The following is a 25,394-nucleotide window of genomic DNA, read 5'->3' on the forward strand; positions in this document are numbered from 1 at the left end:
TCCCGGGTAATTTCTGTATTTTTAGTAGAGACGGGGTGTCCCCATATTGGCCAGGATGATCTCGATCGTTTGACCTCGTGATTCACCCGCCTCCACCTCACAAAGTCCTGGGATTATAGGCGTGAGCCACCGCGCCCAGCCAATTGCTTTTGAAAAAAGAATGATACCTAGTGTCCGCCCAATTTTATAAAATCAACTGATTCAATCAATTGGGTCCAACTAATTTGTACCTATCTTGAGAAAGGATTCTTCATCATTCATCAAGGGAAACCTCTGTGTTGTCACCCCTTTACAGACCCCTCTGTGTGACAGGACAGGTACTGTGGCTTGTGATGACTACGTAGGACACCATTTAATGCTCCATGTGTACCCCCAGCTAACCGACACTCAGGAGTAGAGATGAATCCCCCCAAATAATTACTGTATTTCCACTGATAAAATGAAAAGCACCATTATCAATGATGCTTCACCTTTAACTTCTAGAAATAATTCCAGAAAATCATTTTTTATTATTTCTTTAGGTCATCCTCCATACTCTTGAAATAATGTTTCTTCTTCCAACATTCTCCAAATTTAACTGACTCACCTTTTGTGTCATTTTCTCTAGTGTTTTGATGCTTGGTCAGTGAATGTAAAACACTAGCTAAAGCTTATATAATAAACAAAGATAATTATTTGAAATAATCTCTTCTAAATTAAAAGTATCTCCTCCAAGTAGAATTTGCTGTTTAACCAAACCACACAAGCACTGAATAATGAGCGTTCTGGTCTGTGGACTAGTCTAAAGGTGATCACTTCTACTGGTTAGTCACTGCTTATACTGCCAACATATAGTCTCTGATTTCATTTCTTTGTATTGAGGCAAACTCTAGGATGAGAAAGAAAATAGGTTATGAATTCAACTGCTTGAAAATTTTGTATTATGAGCCGTGAATTGCAAATGCAAAAAGCCAGAAATACGATGAATAGTGTCTTTAACATTTAAGAAAGAATTGACTTTAAATCTCCTTGTCCAGATGCAGAGCTAATCATCAAAATTCCTACCAAAATTACTTACAACTGTAAAAAACACACACATACACATTTTAGACATGTAAATCTAAAAAGCTGTTAGAGGGAGTTATGAAAATTACATGCAATTATCTTGTAACTGGGATTACGAATCAATTTTCCCAGTGTTCTATTCTTTGCTTTCTTACTGCCTTCCAGAGTTTGATGTTTCTCATTTACAAAAAAAGGGATATATTTCATTTAGCAAAAAAAAAGTTGGATTTAACTCTATAATTTGTAAATATTTATGCATATTTCCAAAGAATCCATCAGCTTAACTAAATTCTTCCCTGATTACTTATAGGTCTAATACATCATGCTAGATTTCACATGTTGCACTTTCACAATAAAATGTTCAGATGAGAAGGCGATAACCAAAACAACCTGACAACCAATCAGTGAACACTCAGAAAAAATAAAACCCAAAGGTAGAGATTATCTATAAAATGGGTGTAGATTTAATTTGAAGTCTGTTTTCTACTTAAAATTTAAAAAGTTGTGTTTAAGGATAAAATTTTTGTTCAGATTTTGCAGAGAGTTAATAAAACAGCCTAAAAAAATGACCAACTGGTGTCAGTGACCCTACCCCATTTCTCTTCCACCTTCACGCACATGGCAAGTGGAACATGAACACTTTGTTCTGCATTGTATTCAAAGATGACACTACTGACAGTGATTGCTCCACTCTCTGTGTGTGACTGAGAAGCCCAATATGGTACCAGGAGTCCTTCCTGTAGTTTGCACATATGAAGCTTGTTGGGAGATTTGTGACTACAGCTGCTTTTAACAGAGCTTGTCATTGTTTATATCTCTGCCTCCAAAATACAAAATGGTCCGTTGCTAGGAATGAACCACTTCATTTCCTGACTGCTGCAAGCCAGACCGTTGTCTCTGTTGTTCTTTCCCAGATGTTCCCCAGCATGGCCATGTTGCTTGAAGCTGTGCTTTGCCTCTGTCTGAGATGGGTAAGATAAATTAACTTCAATTATCTGTTCCCCTCTTGTTGAAGATTGTAGGCACTGCAGAGATCTAACAGTAAAAACTGAGAACTAATCCTAAGTACCTACTATGTATTATATAGTGGTGATTAGTGGTAAGCAGAAGACAACGAAGGATGGGGTCTAGTTTCTGCCATCGAGGTACTTATAAGGTGGACACACTCCCCAAATAGTGAAGGTCAATGAGTGACAGGGCAAGCTGCTTGTCAAGAACTCCTATGGAAGTTACCTAGAGCAGTGGTCTCCAACCTTTTTGGCACCAGAGACCAGTTTCAATGGAAGACAATTTTCCCATGGACTGAGGAGGGGGATGATTTCAGGATGATTCAAGTGCATTACATTTATTGGGCACTTTATTTCTATTACTATTACATTGTAGTATATAATGAAATAATTATACAACTCACCATAACAGAAGCAGTGAGGTCCATGAGCTTGTTTTCCTGCAACTAGATGGTCCCATCTGGAGATGATGGGAGACAGTGACAGATCATCAGATATTAGATTCTCATAAGGAGCTTGCAACCTAGATCCCACGCATGCGCAGTTCACAATAAGGGTTTGTCCTCCTGTGGGAATCTAATGCTGCTGCTGATCTGACAGGAGGTGGAGCTCAGGCAGTAGTGCCAGCGATGGGGAGCGGCTGTAAATACAGATGAAGCTTCTCGGGGTTACCTGCCACTCACTTCCTGCTGTATCCCCTGGTTCCTAACAGGCCATGGACAGCCCCAGGATTGGGGACTCCTGCCCCAGAGGGAGAGATCATTTCAGGTTTGGGTGTAAAGAAATCCTTCATGGAAGAGAGTATATTTGAAAAAAGATGATCAAAGTGGATACTTTCAGCATAGAAACTGTGAAAAACAATACCAAGTAGTAGCAAATGGATATGTTTTGGGGATGGCGAGTATGCAGGTTTGACCTTAAAGAAAAACTACAGGATATAAGAAAACAAAGTGGATGAAGCCTGGATAGAAGGGTTTAAGCCATTATAGAGATTTTATAAAGGCTTTAAAACTAATTAAATAAAGGACCAATAAATCCATGTACCTAATCCTAATTCTGGCTACTGTGTTCAATATCAACAACTGTGATATTGAAGAAAGGATTTAACCTCTCAAGGACTCGACTTACATCTGTAGATTAAGAAGGCAAGAATAGAAAAGCAGTTCTAGACATCTGAGTATAGAAGTGTTTGGAAAATTATGAAGGAACAACTATGGCTCCCACAAAAATTTGAGACAGAAAAGTGATGCTGGCATCTGATGGACCTGGCCAGGGATGGTTGATGTCTTGTTATGTACAGAGCAGTCCCAACCTGAAATGTACACACAGCTTTCAAATGTTCCCCTCGTGCATGGGAAAAAAACTATTTATTATTATCTGAGCCTAGAAGCCAATTCTGCTTTGCATTAAAATATAAAGTATTTAATCAAATGTTAATACAAAACTTTTCCTAGAAATATGAAGCTTCTTCTTGTGTTTGAGTTGCTAATGAAATACACCCATATCTCTGCATTTTACATTATCATATTCATGGTGATATATAAGAATATAATTATTTAGACCATATTCCAAAATGCCAATATAGAAGAAGGTATTTACAGCATGAATTTGAATATTGTCTTCATTTAAATACAAACCTATGCACTGCAAGTAGGTGCAAGCCTCAGACTACTTCATAGTTTCTTCTAGTGTAGTTGCACCTATGTTGTCACATTTTGAAAAGCATGTTGCTGATCTATAACCAGAAATACCATTTGACTCAGCAATCTCATTACTGGGTATATACCCAAAGAAGTATAAATCATTCTACTATGAAGACACATGCACATGTATGTTTATTGCAGCACTATTTACGATAGCAAAGACTTGGAACCAACCCAAATGCCTATCAGTGATATACTGGATAAAGAAAATGTGGCACATATACATCATGGAATCCTATGAAGCCATAAAAAAGAATGAGTTCGTGCCCTTTGCAGGGACATGGATGAAGCTGGAAGCCATCATTCTCAGCAAACTAACACAGGAACAGAAAACATAATTCTCAGCAAACTGTGTTAGTTTGAACAGAACACAAAACAAAACAAAACACAAAACAAACTCATAAGTGGGAATTGAACAATGAGAACACATGGAAGGGAACATCACGCACCACAGCCTGTTGCGGGGGTGGGGGACAAGGGGAGGGAGAACATTAGGACAAATACCAAATGCATACGAGGCTTAAAACCTAGATGACGGGTTGATAGGTGCAGCAAACCACCATGGTGCATGTATACCTATGTAACAAACCTGCACGTTCTGCACGTGTATCCCAGAACTCAAAGTAAAATTTAAAAAAACAAGAATGTTGCTTTATTTTAAATTACTTTTCTTTTATTTCTTCTTATTATTATAGTTGGGAAATTTATTAAAGTTTTTTAAATGATCTGTGTACATGGAAAAACTATGAGTTTTATTTCAGATTTTAAAGAGGGCAGTACAAAATATATGTAATTAAAAGAGGCACGACGTTTGCTGTGATTGAGAATTAAAGGGTGAGTGATCTCTGTGGTCTTCTAGATCCTGTCCTGCTCATGTGAGAGAGTCCAGTGCACTGTCAGATGCTTTGTGTACTACATTTTTAAACAAATACAGCCATAGATTAGTAAATGATTCCTTGATGAACTGAAAGAGCAATGCCAAAAAAAGTCTATCTTTCACTAACAGAATTATATTTATCCTTAGGATATTTACCATTGGGATAAATGTAAACATGAAATCCTTGAGGATTTTTTAGTAAATTCCTCACCCAAAATAAAAGACTGTTTCCTTTACTTTTCCGAAGTATGCCTCTGGTACCCCGTGCCTCCTACACAGTCACTTACTCATCTGATCATTTTAAAATGATATTTGAAATGTCACAATACATATTTTCTTCCCTTCCCATTCCCACTCTGCTTCTTGCATGACAGCAGTCCTGGCAATGACATTTTTCACCAAGTCTTCAGTTCAACAAACATTGATTTAAGGCTTTACACTTTCAGCATGTCCTGGACTCTCCCCAACACCTGTGGGCAATACCCTGGCCTGCAGTGGGTACAGGCATAACGCAAAGCCTCAACTGTCACAAGACTTCTGTTTTTTGCTGGCTGTAGGATGTTTGCAGGGGCTCCCTGGAGATGTTCTGCTAATAATGAGTTACAGGCTGCCTCATCTATCCAGTGCTTTGACTATCTGCCCAATCTTTGTAAGTTTCTAACCTCATGCTTCCTTCTTCCTCCTACTCGATGTCCTTCTGGGAGACATTGGATATGGGGATGAAACATTCTAATCCTAGGGCCTGCGGTCTTGTCAATGTGTACAACCCAGGGGTCTGTTGCTTTGTTTACCTTTCCTGCTTGTCTAGTGGGAGGTTTGGCAAAATGGGGAGGCTCCAGATTGTGAGTCTTGGAAAAATATCTGAGTGGTCTTGTTGTTTTTAAAATTCCAGTCATTCATAGCAGACGGCTGAAACTCACTTGAAAATGAAATTGTGTGCTTTGAATATAGCAATCTTTTCACTCTGAAAGGTCTTTCACATTCTATTATATTCTTTTAAAACTGATTGTGCATCAGTTAGTGAGTTCTTGCAATTTGAGGATAGTAACCAAAAGTGTAAGATATCCTTATGTTAAAGAAGCAAAAATGTTATTTCCAAAGCAAAATCTTGTTGACCCTAGGTTAAGCCATGCTTTGTTTTCGACAGACTAAACAAATTGAAAGAAGAACTTGGGGATAGAAATTTTAGGAATTCTATTTTCTAATAATTAAAATTTCATTTCACCTGGGAATTTATGATTTATTAAAAAAAAAACCCTAACCAAGTCAGATGGTGTTTTAACATGGATGCAATATGAAGAAAACTGAAGCAAAGATGCTCCTCAATTAAGGATGAGTGTTGTGAAACCTGATTACTTGCCCTGCCTGGGTTAGAGAGGCTTGTAGATCCGGTTCCCAGGCAATAATAATGTGGATAATTAGAGTTAGATTGACTCCTGACCCTTGATGTGGCCACATCTCTCTCCTGAGCACAGAGGCCTTCAAAGGGGCCTGTTCATGGAGGAGGTTTTTGGTGAGGAAGGGGATGGGACATCAGTTGAATAATTTCAGTCTCAGTGGAGTTGTTCATCACAGCTAAGCTTTGTGAGTGTTGGAATGCTGTGTGTGTTATATGCAGGGAGGATCTGAGCTTCAAAAGCTGTAAAACACAGTATGTGTTATCTTACATCACTTCTCAAATCTGTGCAAATTCAGATTTCTCTCTGACAAGGCCTTCCCATTAGAATGGGAAGTTCAAAAGTCCAATGCGGTTTGGATTCACTATTCAATAATAAACATCCCTTGTGAATGAAAAAGTCAAAAGCAATTGATAAATATGCTAGTCCTAAGCATTAGATACAAACCTCTGTCACTTATGAGATATCATTTATCCATCAACTATAATGTACCTTCTTCCTTCTACTCATTTCTTCTTATTCTGTTTGATAGACAATTATCATTACATCTTTATTAGCTGGAACCCCAGAATCTGCAATAAAAGTCTTATGAACTGAAATAGCAACACAATTTGTTATGCACTAGAATTTTCCTCTTTCAGAGAGACTTTGAATTAACACATAACTGAGGTGCTCCTTTGTCTAAACTTTATCCATGGCCATAAAACAGGAAATGGAGAAAGGGCTAGAACCATGTTTTAGTTGAAAGCAAAAAAATGAAAAGTATTCTATAGTTCAAAAGACTTCTTGGGTAGATAGCCTATCACATCTATGCTGGGCTGCAGCTATGGTTAAATAACTAGTTCTCACTGCTAATCTGCAGGGTTGCTTATTAATCACAGAAAGTGTAATCAGTTAACCTAACCAGGAAGTTGATGTTGGGTATCATTCTTCTGCTGTATTGCAATCATTCAGTATTTTCAACAGCTCTACACACACTCAGTTCATGATAGGGTCCTTTCTCATAAGATAAGCATTCTTGAAAGAGTAGCTTGGGAGAAAATAAAAAGCATTTGGAAAAACATATCCACTGACATGACTTTCTATTATGTTAAAGAGTTCTTTATTAAAAAATTAAAAGCAAAGAAAAAGAACAGAAAAAGAAAGAAACAATAACAATGACAAAATCCTATCATGGTTGTGCTTCCAGCAGCAAAAGAAAACAAGTAAGCCATTGATTTGGAGATCTGGGTTGGAAGACTAGGCAGGACATTGAACCATTCCTTGGTGGAATGGGAGGAATAGAAAAGGGTCTAGGTTGTTAAGGCCATTTAAAACTAGAAAATTCTATGACTTAAACATTTCACATTGACTTGAGCCCCTTCATCTTGGGCCAAGTTACTGATGGTGCTTGGGGCTGAGCCTGGTTGAAGAAGGGCCATGTTTTCTGGAGAGCAGTTGTCTAGTGAGCGGAGCCAGGGCCAGGCACTGGATAGTCAAAACAGCTGGACTTGAGCCTCATCTTTAGAAATAACAAATATCATGAATCCTTGTGCTTTCTGTGTGTCCAATAACAAACCTTGATTCTGAGTTCTTTATTTTGTTGGTTTAACACCAAGTCTTACATTTTAATATAGAAGCAGTAAAAAGGACAGTAATACTGAGAAATCTTGGAGGTTTAAAATATGGATCTAGTGACAAGTTTGATGATTCCATTATTTTTGATATGCTACCACTCTGATCATTCTTACCTTTAAATAACTTATCAAAAAAACACACTTTAGAATTATCAACCAGAAAACAAAAGGTTCTTTAAACTTATGTGCATTTATTGACTCTTTAAGGGAAAAGTGGTGATTACTGTCCTGTCTCCTATCCTTAGTTCTTTCTGATGTTCTTACGCTACTAGGTCAACCCGGCACCCTTCTAGGCAAAGCTGGAAAAATCAAGCACTTTCATAATTAGTCCTATTGGAAAAATAAACTTATAAAAATTAGATTTTACTCCAAATTGATTGTAAAATGGCTAGATTTCAGTGGAGTATTATACATCATGACTCCCTTAATTGTACTAAGGAATATTACATTCTGTGGAGTAAGAAATACTTTGAAACCAGAATGCGAGAAAGAAAGAGGCAGAAGATGTTTCATTCCCCCACATCAGAAAGGAAATGTTGGAAAGGAAATGATGATGGAAAGGAAAAATAGTAGTTATAAGCAAGGATCTTCCTAGCTGTGAGAAATGATTCGCTTGCTTGGGATGGTATGGAAGCCACAAGAGACCTAACACTCAAATCTCGCAAAACCTTTGCCTCATAAGAAACTTAGGGTCAGGAAATTTTCTTTGACTTTGAGCTACATTCAAAGGGTGGGTTTTCAGGTTATTGGGATGAAATCTGAAGGAGCATAACAATTCTTTATGGCTTAGGAACACAAGTCTTCTCTCCCTTTGTTGTTTCTTTCTTCTTTTTTGTATTCCATCTGCATTACCTGAGCTTCCTTTCTCTCCAAAAATGCAGTACAGAGAGGGGAAAAGATAAAAAGCAAATTGACCAATTGCATATTTTTTAATGTTCAGAGGCTTTGAAACTACATTTTTTTCCCCAGAAATGTTTTCAAGGTCGGGGGCCAAAGGACCCTGAGTTAACTCAAAGATTTAGAGCATTCAACAAATTAAACTCCTTCCTTTGGCATGTATGTTAGAGTCTTTGAGTCCTTAATATAATTTAAAGCAATTGTCCCTGTAGGGAGGTCTAACATTTTGCACAGTTACGTTGTAATAGTTGACCTGCGTGAGGAAACTAGAAGAATTTCAAGGGTACATTTCAAGACTCTGTTTCTGTTTATAATTGTGTTCCAGAGTTTATATTTATTAATATTGCTTTATTTTGGGCAGACTCCCACAGGAAATCCTGAGGAGTGTACGTTTCTGGCATATTTTATCTCAGATAGTTCCATCCCTTTGGTCTCGCACCCTGACTGCTAGGCTGAAGTGTACCTTTGAAAGCCTCTGCTCTTTAATAGAGCTGAGGATGACAACAAGCAGGAACTTCAACACTCTAGGAAGACAATCTATCTACTTTCTCCAGTTATCATTAAAATGTCTTTTAGACGTAGGTCATAACTGGAAACCTATAAATGATGTCTGTGTAGTAAGCACTTCCCACAGAGCTGGAGTCCCAAGTGATTAAAATTTATCACATTGTTCTTATGGTTACAAATACTGCTGATATGTGTCATTACTTAGAAAGTACTATTCATAACATTTTGATTTCAGTCCAAATAGCTTTTTTTTCCGGAATTTCCCATAAAATGCTCTTGATCTTTTTCTAAAAAGGTCTAATCTCCTTCTCCTTTGAAACAACAAAGAAAAGGGGTTGATTGTTCTTTAGTTTAAATTTTGTTTGGTGTGATATATTTATTGCCTGGTGGAGTGCATCTAATTTTCCATTAGCTTTTCTGAGAAAGTAATTAGGACAGAAGTTAATCCTTTGCCACATGCAAGCTCTAAGCTCTTTCATGAATTAAAAATTATGGTGCATAGTGTGTAGCTCTATTAAAATGATATGCAACCACAAGACCTCATATTTGAGCAGTGCTTTTTTTTAGACCAAAAAAATGCACGCTTTGAATGTACAGATTTACTCTTCAATTAGACAACATAGGGTGCACTGAAATGCTCTAGAGTGGGCCCTACATATGATAAGAGTTTCCTAGAACATGGGATAAGAGGGCAGCCTCTATTTTAGTCTCCTGGAAAGGTGAAGATGTAAAGTTCTTTCAATATGATTGTCTAACCTTCATGCATTTTGCCATTCCCCTGGGAGTTTATATTATAAGGAACAAGGTTAGTGCAGCATGTCTCCAGATATTCAGCTCTTGCTAGGTATTTTACCTGAAAAGCAGTGAATTGAACTGGCTTGTATTTATTGAAAAAATAAGACTCAAGGCAACATGCTGTCTGCTTTTCTACCTAAACACTGAATCCCTGAATGACAATTTGAGATGACCCTACCAGGACAAGTCTTGTTTCAGGTTTTTGTAATTGATTTCTAAATTCTGGGACTAAACATACAGTGTAATAATATTAAGATATCGAGAAAGGAAAGAAAGATACTAATGAAATTTAATACCAAGAGTTTCAGCAAAGGAATATATCAAAACTCATATCATTATTTTGACTCCTAACTATAAAAAGTTCAGTACATGCATTGCATTCTAACCATTTAACCATCTAATTTAGCTAACTAGTACATACACTGTTGTACTATAATTGAACATTTTACAATACTTTACATGGGATGCTATTTAAAGATATCCCCAAAATTTTACCTTCATAGTTTTAGAAATAAATGACAAAGTAAAGGCAAACTTCTTCATGTGGAGTTCTGGAGTCGAGTGTTTTGGGGTTAAGTAGACAAATTTTCAGATCTAGGATTTTTTTATTTTCAAAACAAAATGTACTAGTTCTTTCCATTGCTGACATAGTTGGCTCCGTGTAACTTTTGGAACAAATTTCTTTTTGTAGAATTATCTGGCAGTTTAGAGTCATTTTGTGGTGGGAAAAAAAAAGCCAGCTGGTGACTAGCAAAAATGAAATAGAGGGGGTGTTGATAGGAAGAAAAAAAGAATCATAGCATTGATTGTATTAATCTTATTAAAACAAACTCCAAGGAACTGACTTTCTTATTTTCTCATATGGATATTTTATAGTACCAAATATTCCTCAAAACAAGTGAACAATTGGCTGGGGCTTGACAAGTATTTGTTATCTAGAGGTTTTTCATTGTATGTTAAAAGGCTGGAAAGAGGCAATAATACATAAGTGCAAGGAACACAAAATTCTGATTGCAATGAAATTTTACAGCTAATGTATTCTAAGAACTGCTTTCATCAGGGTTTTCTGTGTATTTTTTGCAACCCATTTTGCCTTTTTATATGGAGTGTTACATTGAAAAGGCCTGTATGTGGGCAAGGTGACCCAATAAGCACAAATCAAGCTACATCTCCCAGATACCTACCCAGCAAAATAGAAAATTCCAGTCAATCAACCAGCTGCTTTGTCTATGTAATAACAAAGGGTAGATTGGTGAGGGTGTTTTTTGTTTTCTAATGTCATGAAATTTCCTGAAATAATTGATTGGTCTAGAAGTTATGTACACCAAAATATATATATAACTATCCTAAACATCCTTAGAATCACAGAATAGCAGATTTGGAAGAGACCACAAAGTTCTAAATCTAGATGCAATGTGTAAATCACCTTTCTCCAGCCTCTCCAACAGGTGAGGAATGCTGATGTCCATATCCACAGAATGGCAGCCCATTCTATCTACAAAGGATTGATTGCAAGTAAGTCCATTCTTATACGGAAACTTCTATATATTGGTCCTTGCAGAAATTCAACATCAGAGACAATAAACCTTTTCCTCTTTAACAATGAAGCTCTTCTTTTCTCCAGGTAAAACATCTTCTATTCCTGTAGTTTTCCTTCTTTTTTTTGTTTTTGACATGGTTTTATATCTTCTCATCAAGTACATTTTTTTGTTTTTAAAAGTATGCTTTTAAGGTATAGTATCTAGATATAAAGTCAGTATTTTTTTAAAAAAAAGTTTTGCCCACTATGGAATGTAGATTTGGGGTTATAACTTTCTTAGTCTGGCAAGCTTGCTCTAAAATTGATTCTAAATCCTATTAGACTTATAGCAGCCCACCACTCTCTTGACTTATGTTGAACTCGCTATTATCTAAAAGCCGTAACCCATTGTTTTTCACTGTTTTTCAATGTGAACTATTTTTCCAGTTGCTTTTCTGAATCCAGGTAATGGGCTATGTGTTTATTGCTTATTCCTATTAAACTTTATCCTGTGAGATCCAGCCATTTGGGCACCGTGTCAAACTCATTTGGAGCCTAATATTACCATTATCAGATTCAATAAAACCCCAGCTCATTTGACAAGATGCCTGCCAAATCATTAAGAGAAGACAACCCATTCCAACATGTTACACTCTCCCTATCAAAGATTTGTTTTTCTAACCCCTAAATCGTTCTTGCTGAGGTTTAAATCCTTTCCCAGACAAAGCAAAATCTCAAATAAACCATGGTTTAAAATTTAACTTACTTGTTATGAACTCACATCCTTGATTACTAATAGCACTTCATTTTTAAGCAGAAATAACATGCCTACCAAAGTAAAAATAACTCAGGAAAACATAACAAATCAAAAGTCATTCATTATGACCAGCATCTACTTTGGTTATTAATCTGTCTTTATATGAAAGTGTTAATAATGAAATTCAGATTGTGTTTACCACAGTTAGATTTTTGTCTTTCCTTAACCTCAACTAAAGCAAAGAAAGGCTTAAGCAAAGGACAATGAAATACCCTAATAAATGAAAATGAAATGAAATGAAATGAATGAAACTTCTCCAAGTCAATTAGAATTTTTATATCTAACGGTTTTCAAAATATATATGTTATACTATGTTTGGTTCCCATGGGATTTATTACCATTGTTCATTAGATACAATGAAATAATAACAACAAAAGTAATGATTACCGTAACTTTCCTCAGAAGCAAACACACACTAAATATAAAGAGGTCTTTGCATTTAACTTTAAAATGTACAATCATCAAAACACTTGAATGGCCACATGCGTAGGAGTGATAGGTCTCGCACATATTTATGAGCTGCCCTAAATCCTTTCTGGAGTAAGGAGAAAAGTAAACAAAAGACGCAGTCACATATTTAATGAGGAGGGAGAGAAAAATCTAAATTGGTATGCAGTCACTGCTCTCACAAGCCATTTTATTTTCTAAACGTTATATCGAAATGTTTAGATGTCGCCTTTCAACCAATACCACAAATGTAGGAGACATGCTACATGAGCCAATGTTACAGATACCTGGGACATCATTAAGAAAAAACACAAAAATAAAATACCTTTTTAAACAATCTGTGACCCTCAAATTTTAAAAATTAAAAAAAATTAAATCTTTTTAGAGATGAAGTCTCATTTTGTTGCCCAGGCTGGTCTCAAACTCCAGACCTCAAGCTATCCTCCCATCTTGGCCTCCCAAAGTGCCGGATTACAGGTGTGAACCACCATGCCTGGCCAAATTTTTAAGTAAATGTAACAGTGCTACCTGCCATCCTCCAGGTGATTCCCAATTGTCCCCAGGCTGTGCCATCTTCTGTGACTCTGGGAAGAATTCCATGCTCCTGAGTCAGAGTAAAATATCTTTGCTTTAGTTTAGAAAGGATTTGCACAGGGATAATGCAATTTCATCTGTCTTTTTTGCTCCACTTAAAAATTAAACAGGAAACACATATATGCCATATAAATGTATCTGTTTTTTCTCTTGCTGGTTTTATTTAACTTTCTCCTCCCTCTAAAGCATTTCTTCCCTTTCTCATACATTTCTCTTATGGAGAAAAGAATAATCAGACATTAGGAATTAATTTGAAAGTTTGTTATAAGTAATTTTATTAAATGACTCCTTGAGCAAAAAAGTACTTTTCATTTGAGACAATGCTTTATTCAAACTGTGTTTTTAACTGATAAGTGGCATATATGACCTACTAAGCCATAGGATAGACAGACATCTATTGTGTACAGTAAAGCTATTTTTAATCCTATTTACCACGTATAGCAAAGACCAGTTTCTCCAAGTGTAAGCCTCAACCTGACTCTCTCAGCATCCCTCCTGGTGCCCCCAGCCTTACACGCTACACTCCAATGAAGCCCGAATGCCTAGCATGGCCAGATTTAACAAACTAAATCACAGAATGCTCAGTTAAATTTGAATTTCCAATAACCCACAAATAACGGGTTCGTACATGTTCCAGTTATTGCATAGGATATACTAAGCCATTATTTGTTGTTTAATGGGAAGTTCAACTTTAACTGTGTGTCCTGCACTTTATCTGACAATACTGCAATCATATCCTCCATGCCACTGTTTCAAGCCATTCTGGGCAGGCTTTTCCCTCCATCTCAGGTGACCTACTGTGCCTTCTCTACAAGGAAGACCCAGCTCAAATGGCTTTTTCTCCTCCTCCATAAAATCTTGGCTGACCTGCTCCACTCAGTCCAAGCAGAGCTGATCATTCCCCTCTTTGTGCCACAACAGTGCCTGGTACGTACTCCATTATGCCCCAAGTCACAAGCTGTATCTCACCCATTTGTGTGTGTCTGGATGTGAAGTCAGTGGGACACAGTGTGCTTCACTCAACCACATCCCCAATACCAGAAACTAGTAGATACCTCAGGAGAAATTTTGTATGGGAAAGGAGCAGAGGGTCAGAGCCAGACAAAGCTGGATTTGAACCCAGGATACTGTGCCAATACATTTACACTCTCAAGGCTTAAAGTTCCTTTTCTACACTTTGAAAAAAATAAATAAATAAGACATCCCTGGTGAAGTAACTGTTGAAAATTAAATTAAGTTGTTCATATGTAAGAAACTTGTCACTAAACATAAAACCACCAAAATAGTTAGTTACTTTCGCATCCCATGCTCTTTCCTAAACTAAAAAGTCGTTTCCGGGGTTATAATGTCTTTCCACTTAAAAAAACCTGCAGAGAACTTCAATTTTAGTTTTTCAATTAAGCTTTAAATTTTGTCTGATTATGACCTAATATACTTAATAAGAAGGTAAGCTCAACTTTTAATAAGATATCTTATTTGTTCTTACTAATTTACCTGCCCAATTTTCTTCCTTTACAATTAAATGGTACTTCCAATTAGACCATATAAAAAGAGAAAAACTCTGCTCCCAAAAGCTTGCAAGAGAAGAGAGTTTCTAAAAATTACTCTTGTCTCATCTGTCTGACTCACATTTATCTAAAAATAAAAGAAAAGCTAGGAGAAAAAATAAACGAACAGAGGATAACATGCAGCCTCATGTCTCTGAGTCAGATAACAAGATAATTTTTCTGCATGGTCTATATTTCACTTTTCTTTTCAAAATGACCTTTCTACCCCCTAACCCTATCACTAGAATATAAATCCATTAATGAGGAATCTTTTCTTCCCCTGTCCTTTTTCATATCAATTGCAGCAGGACATTAGACTGTTCTTTGAGTTCATTCACTTTATAGCTATTAGAAAGAAAATATAGCCTGGAGACAGCCTGTCTCCAATTGGTTAAGCACAAGTTGAAAAAATAAATTCCTGAGTTTCTTTCATCTGCCACTGATTTTCCATGTGAAACCTAGAGAAGTGTCCAAACTTCATTTTTTAAATCTGTGAAATGGGTGAATCATTAAAAAAAAAAACAAAAAACACCTCTTTTAATGTCCATTTTTGGCAGAAAATAAAAAGGTCTTAAAATATTACTGTTTTATACTTAATGATTTTAAAATATGCTTGCTTCACTTTCACTCCCATAGAATTAAATGACATTGCTCATTAGGTGTTATGAAATAATAAAAATAATCATATTAATAAAATGTAGTTGTTAGTGTAACTTTCTCCAGAAGTACTCACATTCTAATCTAACTTCCGAAACCAAAAGAATCACTGAGAAAACTATGTAGGAAACTTTAGAATAAATTGACAGGTATCTTAAAAGGTATATGTAGAGTGGTGCCAATCCATTCAACCATTTACTTATTCATTCATCAAGTGTTTAGCTCTGTGACAGACTTCTCCTGAGTTCCATTTCCTCAGTTTCCTGACAATCAGATTGGACTAGCAAATGTATAAACTATGTAACTCAGGGGTTTATAGCTTAATGTTCCTAAATTAATCCTCTGATAATTTTATTAATACTAGTATTCACCGAGCTTTGCTGCCTTTCAAATAACATTTGCACTTTTATTGCAGCATGGCCTTCTCCTGAAGACACAAGTACCTTACACTGGACATGTGCATGCCCGGTTGATGGTTAATGTATGTCAGGGATAGATCTTGAGTCCTCCAACAAGAGTAACAACAAAAGCATGACAACTGAGTTTTGAAGAAGACTTTTTTGCTTGAGTTAGAACCCCAAGAAGTCTTTCACAGGCCCCGGAAACTATGTCATGTCCCTCAGCTATCCTTGCTCAAAGCCTTCCTTTTAAAACAGGTCTCTCTTCCCCTATTAAACCGTCAGAGCTATGAGTGCAGGGATCAAGTCTGTCTTGTTCATCCCATATATTTATGCTTAGCACGGCACCTGGTCTATAAGAAGTGTGCAAAAATGGTGAATGAACTTTGACAAAGCTTTCTCAACACATTATCCCATTTGATCCACTCCTCCTACACCCTCTTCACAAGATCATTTTCAATGTCAAGACCCATAACTGCAGTATACCACATACTCAGCAATCAATGAACAGTCATTTCTCATCGTCTCCTTGCTGTGGGAGGGTGGGGAATGTGACATCACAGTCAATCAGATGTTACAGTGGGGCAAGAAAAAAAGATGAGCAGAAAGAAGGCAAAGTTTATATGGAAAATATTCAAATCGAAAAGTCAAGTTAGGAGAAAATTTTCCTAAGGGAGCAGCACTGGAGAATAAGCCAGCCCAAAACATTTCCAGAGTACCAGTCATAGTGCCTTCTCTGCAAAGTAAACTACCAGGGGTTACCAAAAGCTTAAATAACCTCCTGATCTTTAAATTTTCTGATACTAAAGAAGTCTGTAAAGGAGGAGGCTAACCAAGTCACCCAGTTTCTAAAGAGCTCAAGTGCTGGCCTGGCTCTGAGGTCCAGCAACAATATCTATTGTCTGCCTACTATGTGCAGTGATGTAGTACATTTCTCCCTCTTCCAGATGGATATCACATTCATAAACCTACAGCAATGAAAAACTCAAAAGCTTCCCCAGAATGTCTACTCAAGGACACTTAGTAAGACATAATCCATACTAAGAAAAGCTGAATAATACTTTCAGATCCAAAGTGTAAGGATCCCATGGGTATCTTGTGTAATTACAATTAATAATTGTATGCAGGTGCACACAACTCTTAGTGCTTTCCTAACTTTTCCAAAACGGCTTAAGAATTTGATCAGGGGAACCACATCCACTCATATACCCTGGAATGTCAACTTGTACTTTCCCTGTGAAGATCTTACCAGTACACAGACTCAGGGGACACACATGGAGTGGAGGGAGAGAAAGAACAAGAACAGCCAGTTCAACCCAGAGTATCAACAGTTGTCATAGCTGCATGTTCTTACATTTAGGTAATTTTTTTCCAATGTAGGAAGAGAGATCTTGAGATAGCAAAACCTTGCCATCAAAATCTAAGCAGAACACTTGGAAGATCCAGCTCAGGCCAGCCTGTGGCATGAGGGAGCCTCTGAAGCCAACCTGGGCCACCCTGTCAGAAGTGCTGTCACTTTACATTGTTTGCAGGAACCACAAAAATGAGACCTCATCTTAACCCTAAAAGGGCGATCCTGATGAAATTCCAGAAGGCAATCTAGAAGAGATTAAATATACTATGACTACACTGCTTGGATTGTTCTGTAATAAGCATGCATCATTTTTACAAAAACAGTAAAAACAATTCTAAAGATAAAAAAGAAAGGAAGGAAGGGAGAAAGAAAGACAGGGAGAGAGGGAAGGAGGGAGGGAGAGAGGGAGAGAGGGAGGGGGAAGGGAAGAAGGAAGAGCACATGCTTTGCTCTTTTATCCTTGGTATTCACAGAAGGCTGGGGATTGCATAATTAGAAGACTTACTGGCCCTTTAACCACATGCTTCACTAAAGCACATCATCATTTCTGAACCCAGATGCTTGATTTCTGAATACTGTGGCTATGGAGGTTAGTGCAGAATCTTGGATCAGCTCTCATCCTCCCTTAGTTCCTCAAAAATTCACTTTGGGTCCGGCAACATAAAGCACTGGTAAAAGGAAACAGAACTTCCTACAACTTCAGAGAAAAAGATGAGAGGGCTCTCAAAGTCTTCTGTGCTAATGGGAAATATTCATTCTTGACCTCTTTTCCTCTCCCTCCCGAGGCTCATGGCTCTTTATAGACACAACTAGGGAGTTTGAACAGTTTCTCTCATATTTCTAGGTCAAGAGAGCAAAGCTAGAGTTGTTCAGATATTTACTGAATGCCTAATAAGCACAAAACCTAGTACTTAGCACTATAGGGATCCAAAGAAATAAAAGACATAGTTCCCACTGGAGCAAGAAGAATTATATAAGCAAAAGTTAAATGATAGATTAGCAGCAAAACATGAGATTTAACAAAGTTGTTGCCAAAGGCAAATGTGCAAACCGTGAGAGCTCTTCTGACCAAGGTAACGTATTTAATATACACTGCTTTCTTTAATAATTAATCATGGAATACGAGTATGCACTTTGGTAAAAATAAATCAAAATAAATAAGGGTTGAAAAACTACCTATCAGGTACTATGTTGACGACTTGGGCAATGGAAAAATGAGAAGCCCAAGCTTCAACATCACACATATTGTGATTTATTACCCATGTAATAAACCTACACATGCATCCCCTAAATCTAAAATATGAAAATGAAAAATAAAGTTAAATTAATAAATAATTGATTTATCAACATCTGTTACATGAATATACACACATGCACACATGCAATCACCAGTCTGTTAAGATAAAGTTGAAAAAAATCATAACTATCTATGAATTTTAAATATGTAGAAAGCAGAGATTAAGCAAAGATGGCATTTATTGAGCATTTTTACTGTGCTCCAGGTACTGTCCTAAATGCTCTGAATGCATTTTTCTCAATTAATTCTTGTAGCATATTAATGGGATAGAAATTATTACCTTTTATATCTAACTTAGGTTTATTAGAAAGGTTTAAGTAATTTACCTAAGATGTCACAACTAACCCCATATTTTTGAAACATTGTACGTTATATTACAGAATTGGAGTGGTCAGCGTTGTACAGAAACAACGTTTGTCTGTCCTTAGGAAACTTAGCATTTCATAACAAACTCAGGAGTGTCACAGGGTTGGCTTAACTATTCCCATAAAAGGACAATTATTATAAGAAAGACTCAAATATGTATTGGTAAATTGGCTAAGGAATAGACTTAACTAAAACAACTTTTTGGAGGGAGGTGGACATTTAAACCAATTTGTAAAGAAAGTCTATGAGTAATTCATTCATAGCTTCTCATTAAACTCTTCTTGGACACCTAGTATGTGTAAGTCCAACCCCTTATGATGACAGAAACAGGAATAAAACAGATAGAATCCCTGCCTTCAAGGAGCTGATAATAATCCGGTGTGAGGTGATGGGATGGTGGGAAGGTGAGGAGGAAGAAGACAGACAATACAATGGGTAGTAAGTCCTGTGATTGAGATATGGACAAAGGGATGTAGAAGAATAGGGATGGAGCCACAAAATTCTCCCTGTGGGAGCTGGGAATGGCTTCACTGAAGAGGTCATAGCTGATCTGGGTCTAAGTAGATTGGCAAAACTTTGCCTGAAAAATAAGTGGTAGAAAACATTTGTAACAGAGAAGAAAGTAGGTACAAATGCATGAACATTATGAAGCAAGGTTTTCCAAATGAGAAAAGTTAAACACCTCTAAAATGGGACAAAGCCAGGAGCTATTTCAGGTAAGCTTGGCACTAATGGGAAATATTCATTCTTGACCTCTTTCTCTCTCCCTCCAGAGGCTCATGGCTCTTTGTAAACATAACTAAAGAGATTGAACAGTCTCTCCCATATTTCCAGGTCAAGAGAGCAACCCTAGAGTTGTTCAGGTATTTACTGAATGCCTAAACAACCTTAGAGAAAACAGGGAAATGAGGGAAAGGCAAGACCAGTGAGTGTAAGAAGAGGGAAAAAGGGAAGAATTGTTAAGAAAGTATGGCTGATCACAGGAAACTAGGAAAAACCAATGCTTTTCCTTTTCCACCTAGGGGAAAAAAGTCATAATTTATCCAGTTATTCAACCAGAAACAGAGGTATCATGCATGCCTCCTTCCACTCTCTCATTCCCTAAATCTTATCAATCACTGAGCGTTATCAATTCCACCTCCTAAACCTGTCTCTTGTCTACTGGCTTCACTGCAGGCTCAATGCTACCAAACTAGAACGGGCCTCTTGGCTGGGCTAATGCAGCAGCTTCCTAACTGTGCCTCACCAGTCCATTCTCCTTCCTTTAGCCAGCGTGATCTTTTTAGACACACAAATCCCATCACATTACTCTTCCAGGCACTTCCCAAAACCCTCAAGGTGAAGTTCAATCTGAGCCACGTGGTTCACAAAGCCCAGTGAAGCCATTACTTATTCTGTTCCCCACCCCACCTCCTAGTCCCACCCTCGCCTACTAAACAAACACACACATGTCATGATCTACTAATGTGGAATTCCTTTCCTTTCCTCAGATATGCCATGCCCTCTCTTCTTCAGACTTCTACTTACCCCGAAGCACTTTCTTCTGCATCTGAAGCACTCTTTTCTCCAAGTGTCACTTGGCTAACTCCAACTCATCCTGTGGACCTCAATTTACATGCCATCTTTTCCAGGAAGCCTTCCCTGATGTTCAGGGCAGGATTATGCATCCTCCCTTGGTGACTACATAACACAGTGTTCTTTCTCTTTCCCAGCACTTAGAGATGTGTAATTGCCTGCTTAGTGATCTGTATTCCCAAATAGACCTTAAGTTCCCAAAAGCAGGGCCACATCCATCTCATTCATTATATCTCCCTTAGCAGCTGGTGCATATTAAACCAGGAAGTACATGACTGAATGAATCCTACTCTGGGCCAATACTGAAGGAGGATGAAAGCTTGGTAAACAACAGTGACTGAATCAAATGAGGTTCAGTTACCAACTCTGTGACCAAACCACGCAATTCAGGTTTAATCAGCATTGACTAAGCAGGTTCCAAGCAAAATGAGACCAAATTGTTTTGCCGACCTGGATCTGACTGTGCAGTTTAGTGAAAGCCAAAAAACTGAGTGTCTATTCAGGGCTGAAGATGGTTCTCTTCCCACCTTGGGTCCAGAAGGTAAGAGTTATACAAATAAAAAAGCTGGAACATGAGGCTTGAGTCAAGGTGGGGGTAAGAAAATGATCCCAGCACTTTGGAAGGCCGAGGTGGGCGGATCACGAGGTCAGGAGATCGAGACCATCCTGGCTAACATGGTGAGACCCTGTCTCCACTAAAAATACAAAAAATTAGCCGGGCGTGGTGGCGGGCGCCTGTAGTCCCAGATACTCGGGAGGCTGAGGCAGGAGAATGGAGTGAACCCAGGAGGCGGAGCTTGCAGTAAGCCGAGATTGCGCCACTGCACTCTAGCCTAGGCGACAGAGCAAGACTCTGTCTCAAAAAAAAAAAAAAGAAAAAAAGAAAATGATCTTATTTGGCAGATTGGAGAAATACCAGGCATTGATTTTTAGTTCCCTACCATAAGAAAATACCTAAAAGCAGTACAATAAGTTGTTATCTATTGTACTGTTTATAACAAGATGTCCCATATTTAAATTACAATTACTTATTAAATTACAATTTATTCCATAAAATAATATGTATTACATACTTCAAAAAATGCAAGAACTTACTTTTATCATCTCCTAAATGTAAATAGGCTCTTTTCCCCTTCCCTCTACTTTGCACCTAAACCTTATTTCATTCTTTCACTGTGATAATCTTTCGTGATGTTTTTCAGAATCCTTGTACTGGTTTGAATAAAGTGGCAGGCAAGGCCAAATGAACTATAGCTACCTACCCTCCATATATAAAATATAAGGCTGTGCATGTGGCATAATAAAAATTCCAATAAATACTTGGGTATTTGGAAAGGCCAGAGGAGTGGGCAGGAAATGACATGAGATAGAGGAATGCAGAGGTACCTGGCGAAGGCATCAGGAAGGTCTATTGCACTTCTGTGCTTCAGATCTGTATCTCTGCTGAGCAGTTGTTGATTGGTCTCTTTGTAGCAGCATCTGTCTAGAGGTAAGAAAAGCTGGTCATTATCTGGCTTCCAATTGTGTACAAAGTCTGATAACACTTTCTGTTTTTCAAGAATAATTAAAGCTTTTCTGAACTTTTTTGGGTAAAAGCACACTTAATCATCACGCAGCAAAGCTGGCAGCTGGCCAAAAGCAGGACAATCAAAGGGCTTGCTCTCAGAAAGCCCCAAGCGGATCCCTCAGCTTCGGATAAGTACTAGTGGGAGAAACGCAAGGACCCTGGTTCTGGAAGTCTTCAAAACCCTTCTGAGTAAAAGCAGATCCTTCTACACTTCTGAGTAAAACTTAAGACTAGAGCATGAAAAGGAGTGAAGAGTCCATGAATAATAATTTTTATTTAATAAATAGAGAATATAGAACAGTTTACAGTTGTGAGCCATAAAGATAATTCTTAAGCAAGAATTTCTTTTTTAATTGACTTGTCTGAATATCCGCCCTCCCTTCCCCCCTAAAATAAACCAAAGTATTACTAGCTCTGGCAGTTTTATACTAAAATGCAAGGTTATATTTAATCTGGGAAAACCTAAGATAAGCACATCCTTCCTAATTGCCTCTTTCTAAGTTATGTTTCTTGTAACTCCTCAAGTTAGAGGCTCAAACCATATTTTCAAGGTATTTATCACATTTTATGCCTCTAACTCTGCAGTGTTCATCCTCATGGGGCCCATCCCAGGGAAGGCGACAGAAAGACAACCTAAGTGAATCCCCCCTTCCTTAACAAACCACAGAAGCTGCCAATGCACTGATGTCATCAACCAGATTGCTTTGTTCCTCCATTGATAATAAAGCAGTCATTTTAGTTTATAATAACTGTGAAAATAAAAAGAAATCAAAGACTTAGAAATGTGTTGGGTGATGGTCACTGGCTCTGATCTTACTGTATGTATGACCCTTAATTAATCCCACTTACCTTCTTGCCTCACTTTGTTCACTTTACAACTAGGTGTTTAGGCTTCTAGAACATTATCAAAACCCCCCACTAAAATTCCAGGAGTTCTTGGTCTATTTTAGAGGTACCTTATTAAAAAATACATAAAATTTGTCCTCCATGGCAAATATCACCTGTTGCCTTCAAGTTTCATGTTTATTTTGCATTTCTTTTTTAAAAATACTCACTTGCATTTTAATACTTTCATATTTTAATTTTTTAAATGTTGGTCCACCTAAACTTTTTAACATTATAATTTAATGCAAGGCAAAAATTATATAGATCTCAAATATTAGTTAAGTAAACATTAATACATATTTTAAAAACATAAAAGCCTTAAAGAGCTTTGAAATTACTTCTAAGTTTTTAACTTCTAGAAATTTAGCTGAACTGTGAAATATTCATAATGTAGTAAGATTGACTGAAGAGGCAAACACCAAAATCATATGATTTTTTTAGCACACTGGGAAATGATGTCAACTTAGAAAATATAAATTGTTGGGTGACCTATTGTATTCATTTTACCTACTTTTCATTTGGTACATTATTATCTCTGAGATTTATCGATTTAGCACAATCCACAAATATTATATGAGGAGAGGAACCCTTTCCTAATCTTTATGTCCATGTATTCCTATGAATATCGACATCAAAATGTTACTGTCTTGAGTTCAATCAAGTATTACATTTCCTTTTTGAAAAAAACATTTTCTCCATTTTCTCTCCTTTGACTCTACTCCAATTTTCTATCCCATGTTACAATAACCCCCACTATTTTGAGAATTTCTGTTACAGATTTTTACCTCTTTGTAGCTCCTGCTTTAATGGAATAGACTTTCATTCGTCTTCCTTCAATAAATATTTATTGAATGCTTACTATTGCTAGCCAGTGAATTAGGTGCTGAGGGGGCATAGAGCTAAACAGACACAATCCTTGCCCTCAGTAAATGGACATTCTCAAGAAGCTATCCCTCCTCTCTAAAGCCCAGTTTCTTCATCTATAAAATAGGGTAAAAATAATTACTGCATGAGCTGTTATGAAAATTAAATGAAATTACAACTTTTAAGCACTTGGCAAAATACCTAACTCTCAGTAAATATTGTGTATTCCATTTTCTTTCTTAGGTGCTATAATAGAAGAAACTCAACCACAGACATAATATTTGAGCCATGTCTTGAAAAGGGTTGGTTTTCAAAGGAAGAAAGAACAAGGAAGGAAAACATTCCAGATACTGAGTGTATCCAGTCTGTACATGAAAGAGCATATTACATGCTGTTTTAAAGAAGTAGAAAGCTGCCCCATAAAGCTAGGAAGAACAAGCAGGACATGAAACTGGAAAGCTGAGCTGGTTTAATGAATTTAATCCTGCAGAAAACAAAGAACCACAAGGGACTTTGATGAAAAGAAAATAACATGATTCCAGTTGTGTAACGGAAAGATCACTATGGAGAATGGGTTTGTAGGGCAACAGCCCAAAGGGAGTGAAATCAAGTAAGAGATTCCCAAGATCAGATTAGAGAAGATGATGTCTGAACTAAGACAATGACAGTTACTGAATAATAGAGATTGAGTTGAGAAATAATTTAGAGGCAGCATCTACCATATGTGGTCACTGACTACACCTTGGGATAAGAGTTGACCCTGAGGTTTTCAGTTTGGTGGTAAACCAGATGAATACACCATTAACTAAAAGAAGAACTACAGAAAAAGAATAAATATATTGGGGAAGCAGAGGATGAGGATTTGGAGAAAGTTGGAGATTGTGGACATGATTCTAGACAGAGAAAACACCAAGAGAATACCAATCCTGAGAGGGCAGGGCAAAGGGAAGGAACCAATACAGAAAGTCTATGAAGAAAGGTTATAACCATAGAGAATAACATATTGGGAGTCAAGAGAGCAGAGAGTTTTCAGAAGGAGGAATTAAAGATTTGTGCCAATATCACAGAGTGGTCAAGTAAGAAAGCTAGGAGAAAGCTGGTTTAATCTTCTAACCCCAGGACTTGGGGAGAGGCAGAATGGACAGCATTCCCTCCAGCTGGGTTTGAGGAAGGGAGTGCCATCAGAGCAAATTCATGTTTTGGGTAAGCTGAGAAGGCAAAAGGAGCACTCTATAGAAAGTTTAACGATCTGGGGGAAAATTAAAGATCCAGTATTGCAATGGACATGTTTGAGAGGAGAGCCAGTGGGTGGAGGAGAGAGAGGTCACTAGACCACCAAGAAAGGACAAGACCATCCTGGATAAAGACAGAGCATGAGAGGATTAATAATGAGGGAATTCTGATTCTTTTTATCTTTGTCTTAAGTGAAATAATTCTTAGCACTTTGATTACCTATCTGATATTACATTAACTTAATAATTTAATACTTTGGCTGTTCTTCAATTCTTTCCTTGTATGTGAAGCTGCTATGCCAATCTAGGCAACAGGGATGCCAACCTCCATAATGAGAAAGCACTGTCAAGTGGGTCCAAGATTCCAAATGCTTTTCCCATTCAAGTTGAAAGCCACTAGTTCCCCTGTGAGCTTCTCAGGTGTCACCTCTG

At 37.4% G+C, this 25,394-nt stretch overlaps 2 long non-coding RNA genes across 2 annotated transcripts in view; one reads left to right on the plus strand and one right to left on the minus strand.

Moving 5' to 3' along the window:
* The window catches only part of TARID (TCF21 antisense RNA inducing promoter demethylation), a 386,755-nt gene that overhangs the window by 244,779 nt on the left and 116,582 nt on the right, over positions 1-25,394 (minus strand). The window contains exons 3-4 of the long non-coding RNA NR_109982.1: positions 21,801-21,893; positions 13,155-13,230 (exon numbers count right to left, since the gene is read on the minus strand). This is a non-coding gene — a long non-coding RNA (TCF21 antisense RNA inducing promoter demethylation). The remainder of the gene's footprint in view (positions 1-13,154; positions 13,231-21,800; positions 21,894-25,394) is intronic.
* On the plus strand, positions 1,904-25,166 carry LOC124901402 (uncharacterized). Its single transcript, XR_007059772.1, has 3 exons — positions 1,904-2,015; positions 11,280-11,358; positions 23,974-25,166. It is a non-coding gene; the product is annotated as an uncharacterized LOC124901402 (long non-coding RNA).

Source organism: Homo sapiens, chromosome 6 (genome assembly GCF_000001405.40).
Source record: "Homo sapiens chromosome 6, GRCh38.p14 Primary Assembly".
NCBI classification, from domain to species: domain Eukaryota; kingdom Metazoa; phylum Chordata; class Mammalia; order Primates; family Hominidae; genus Homo; species Homo sapiens.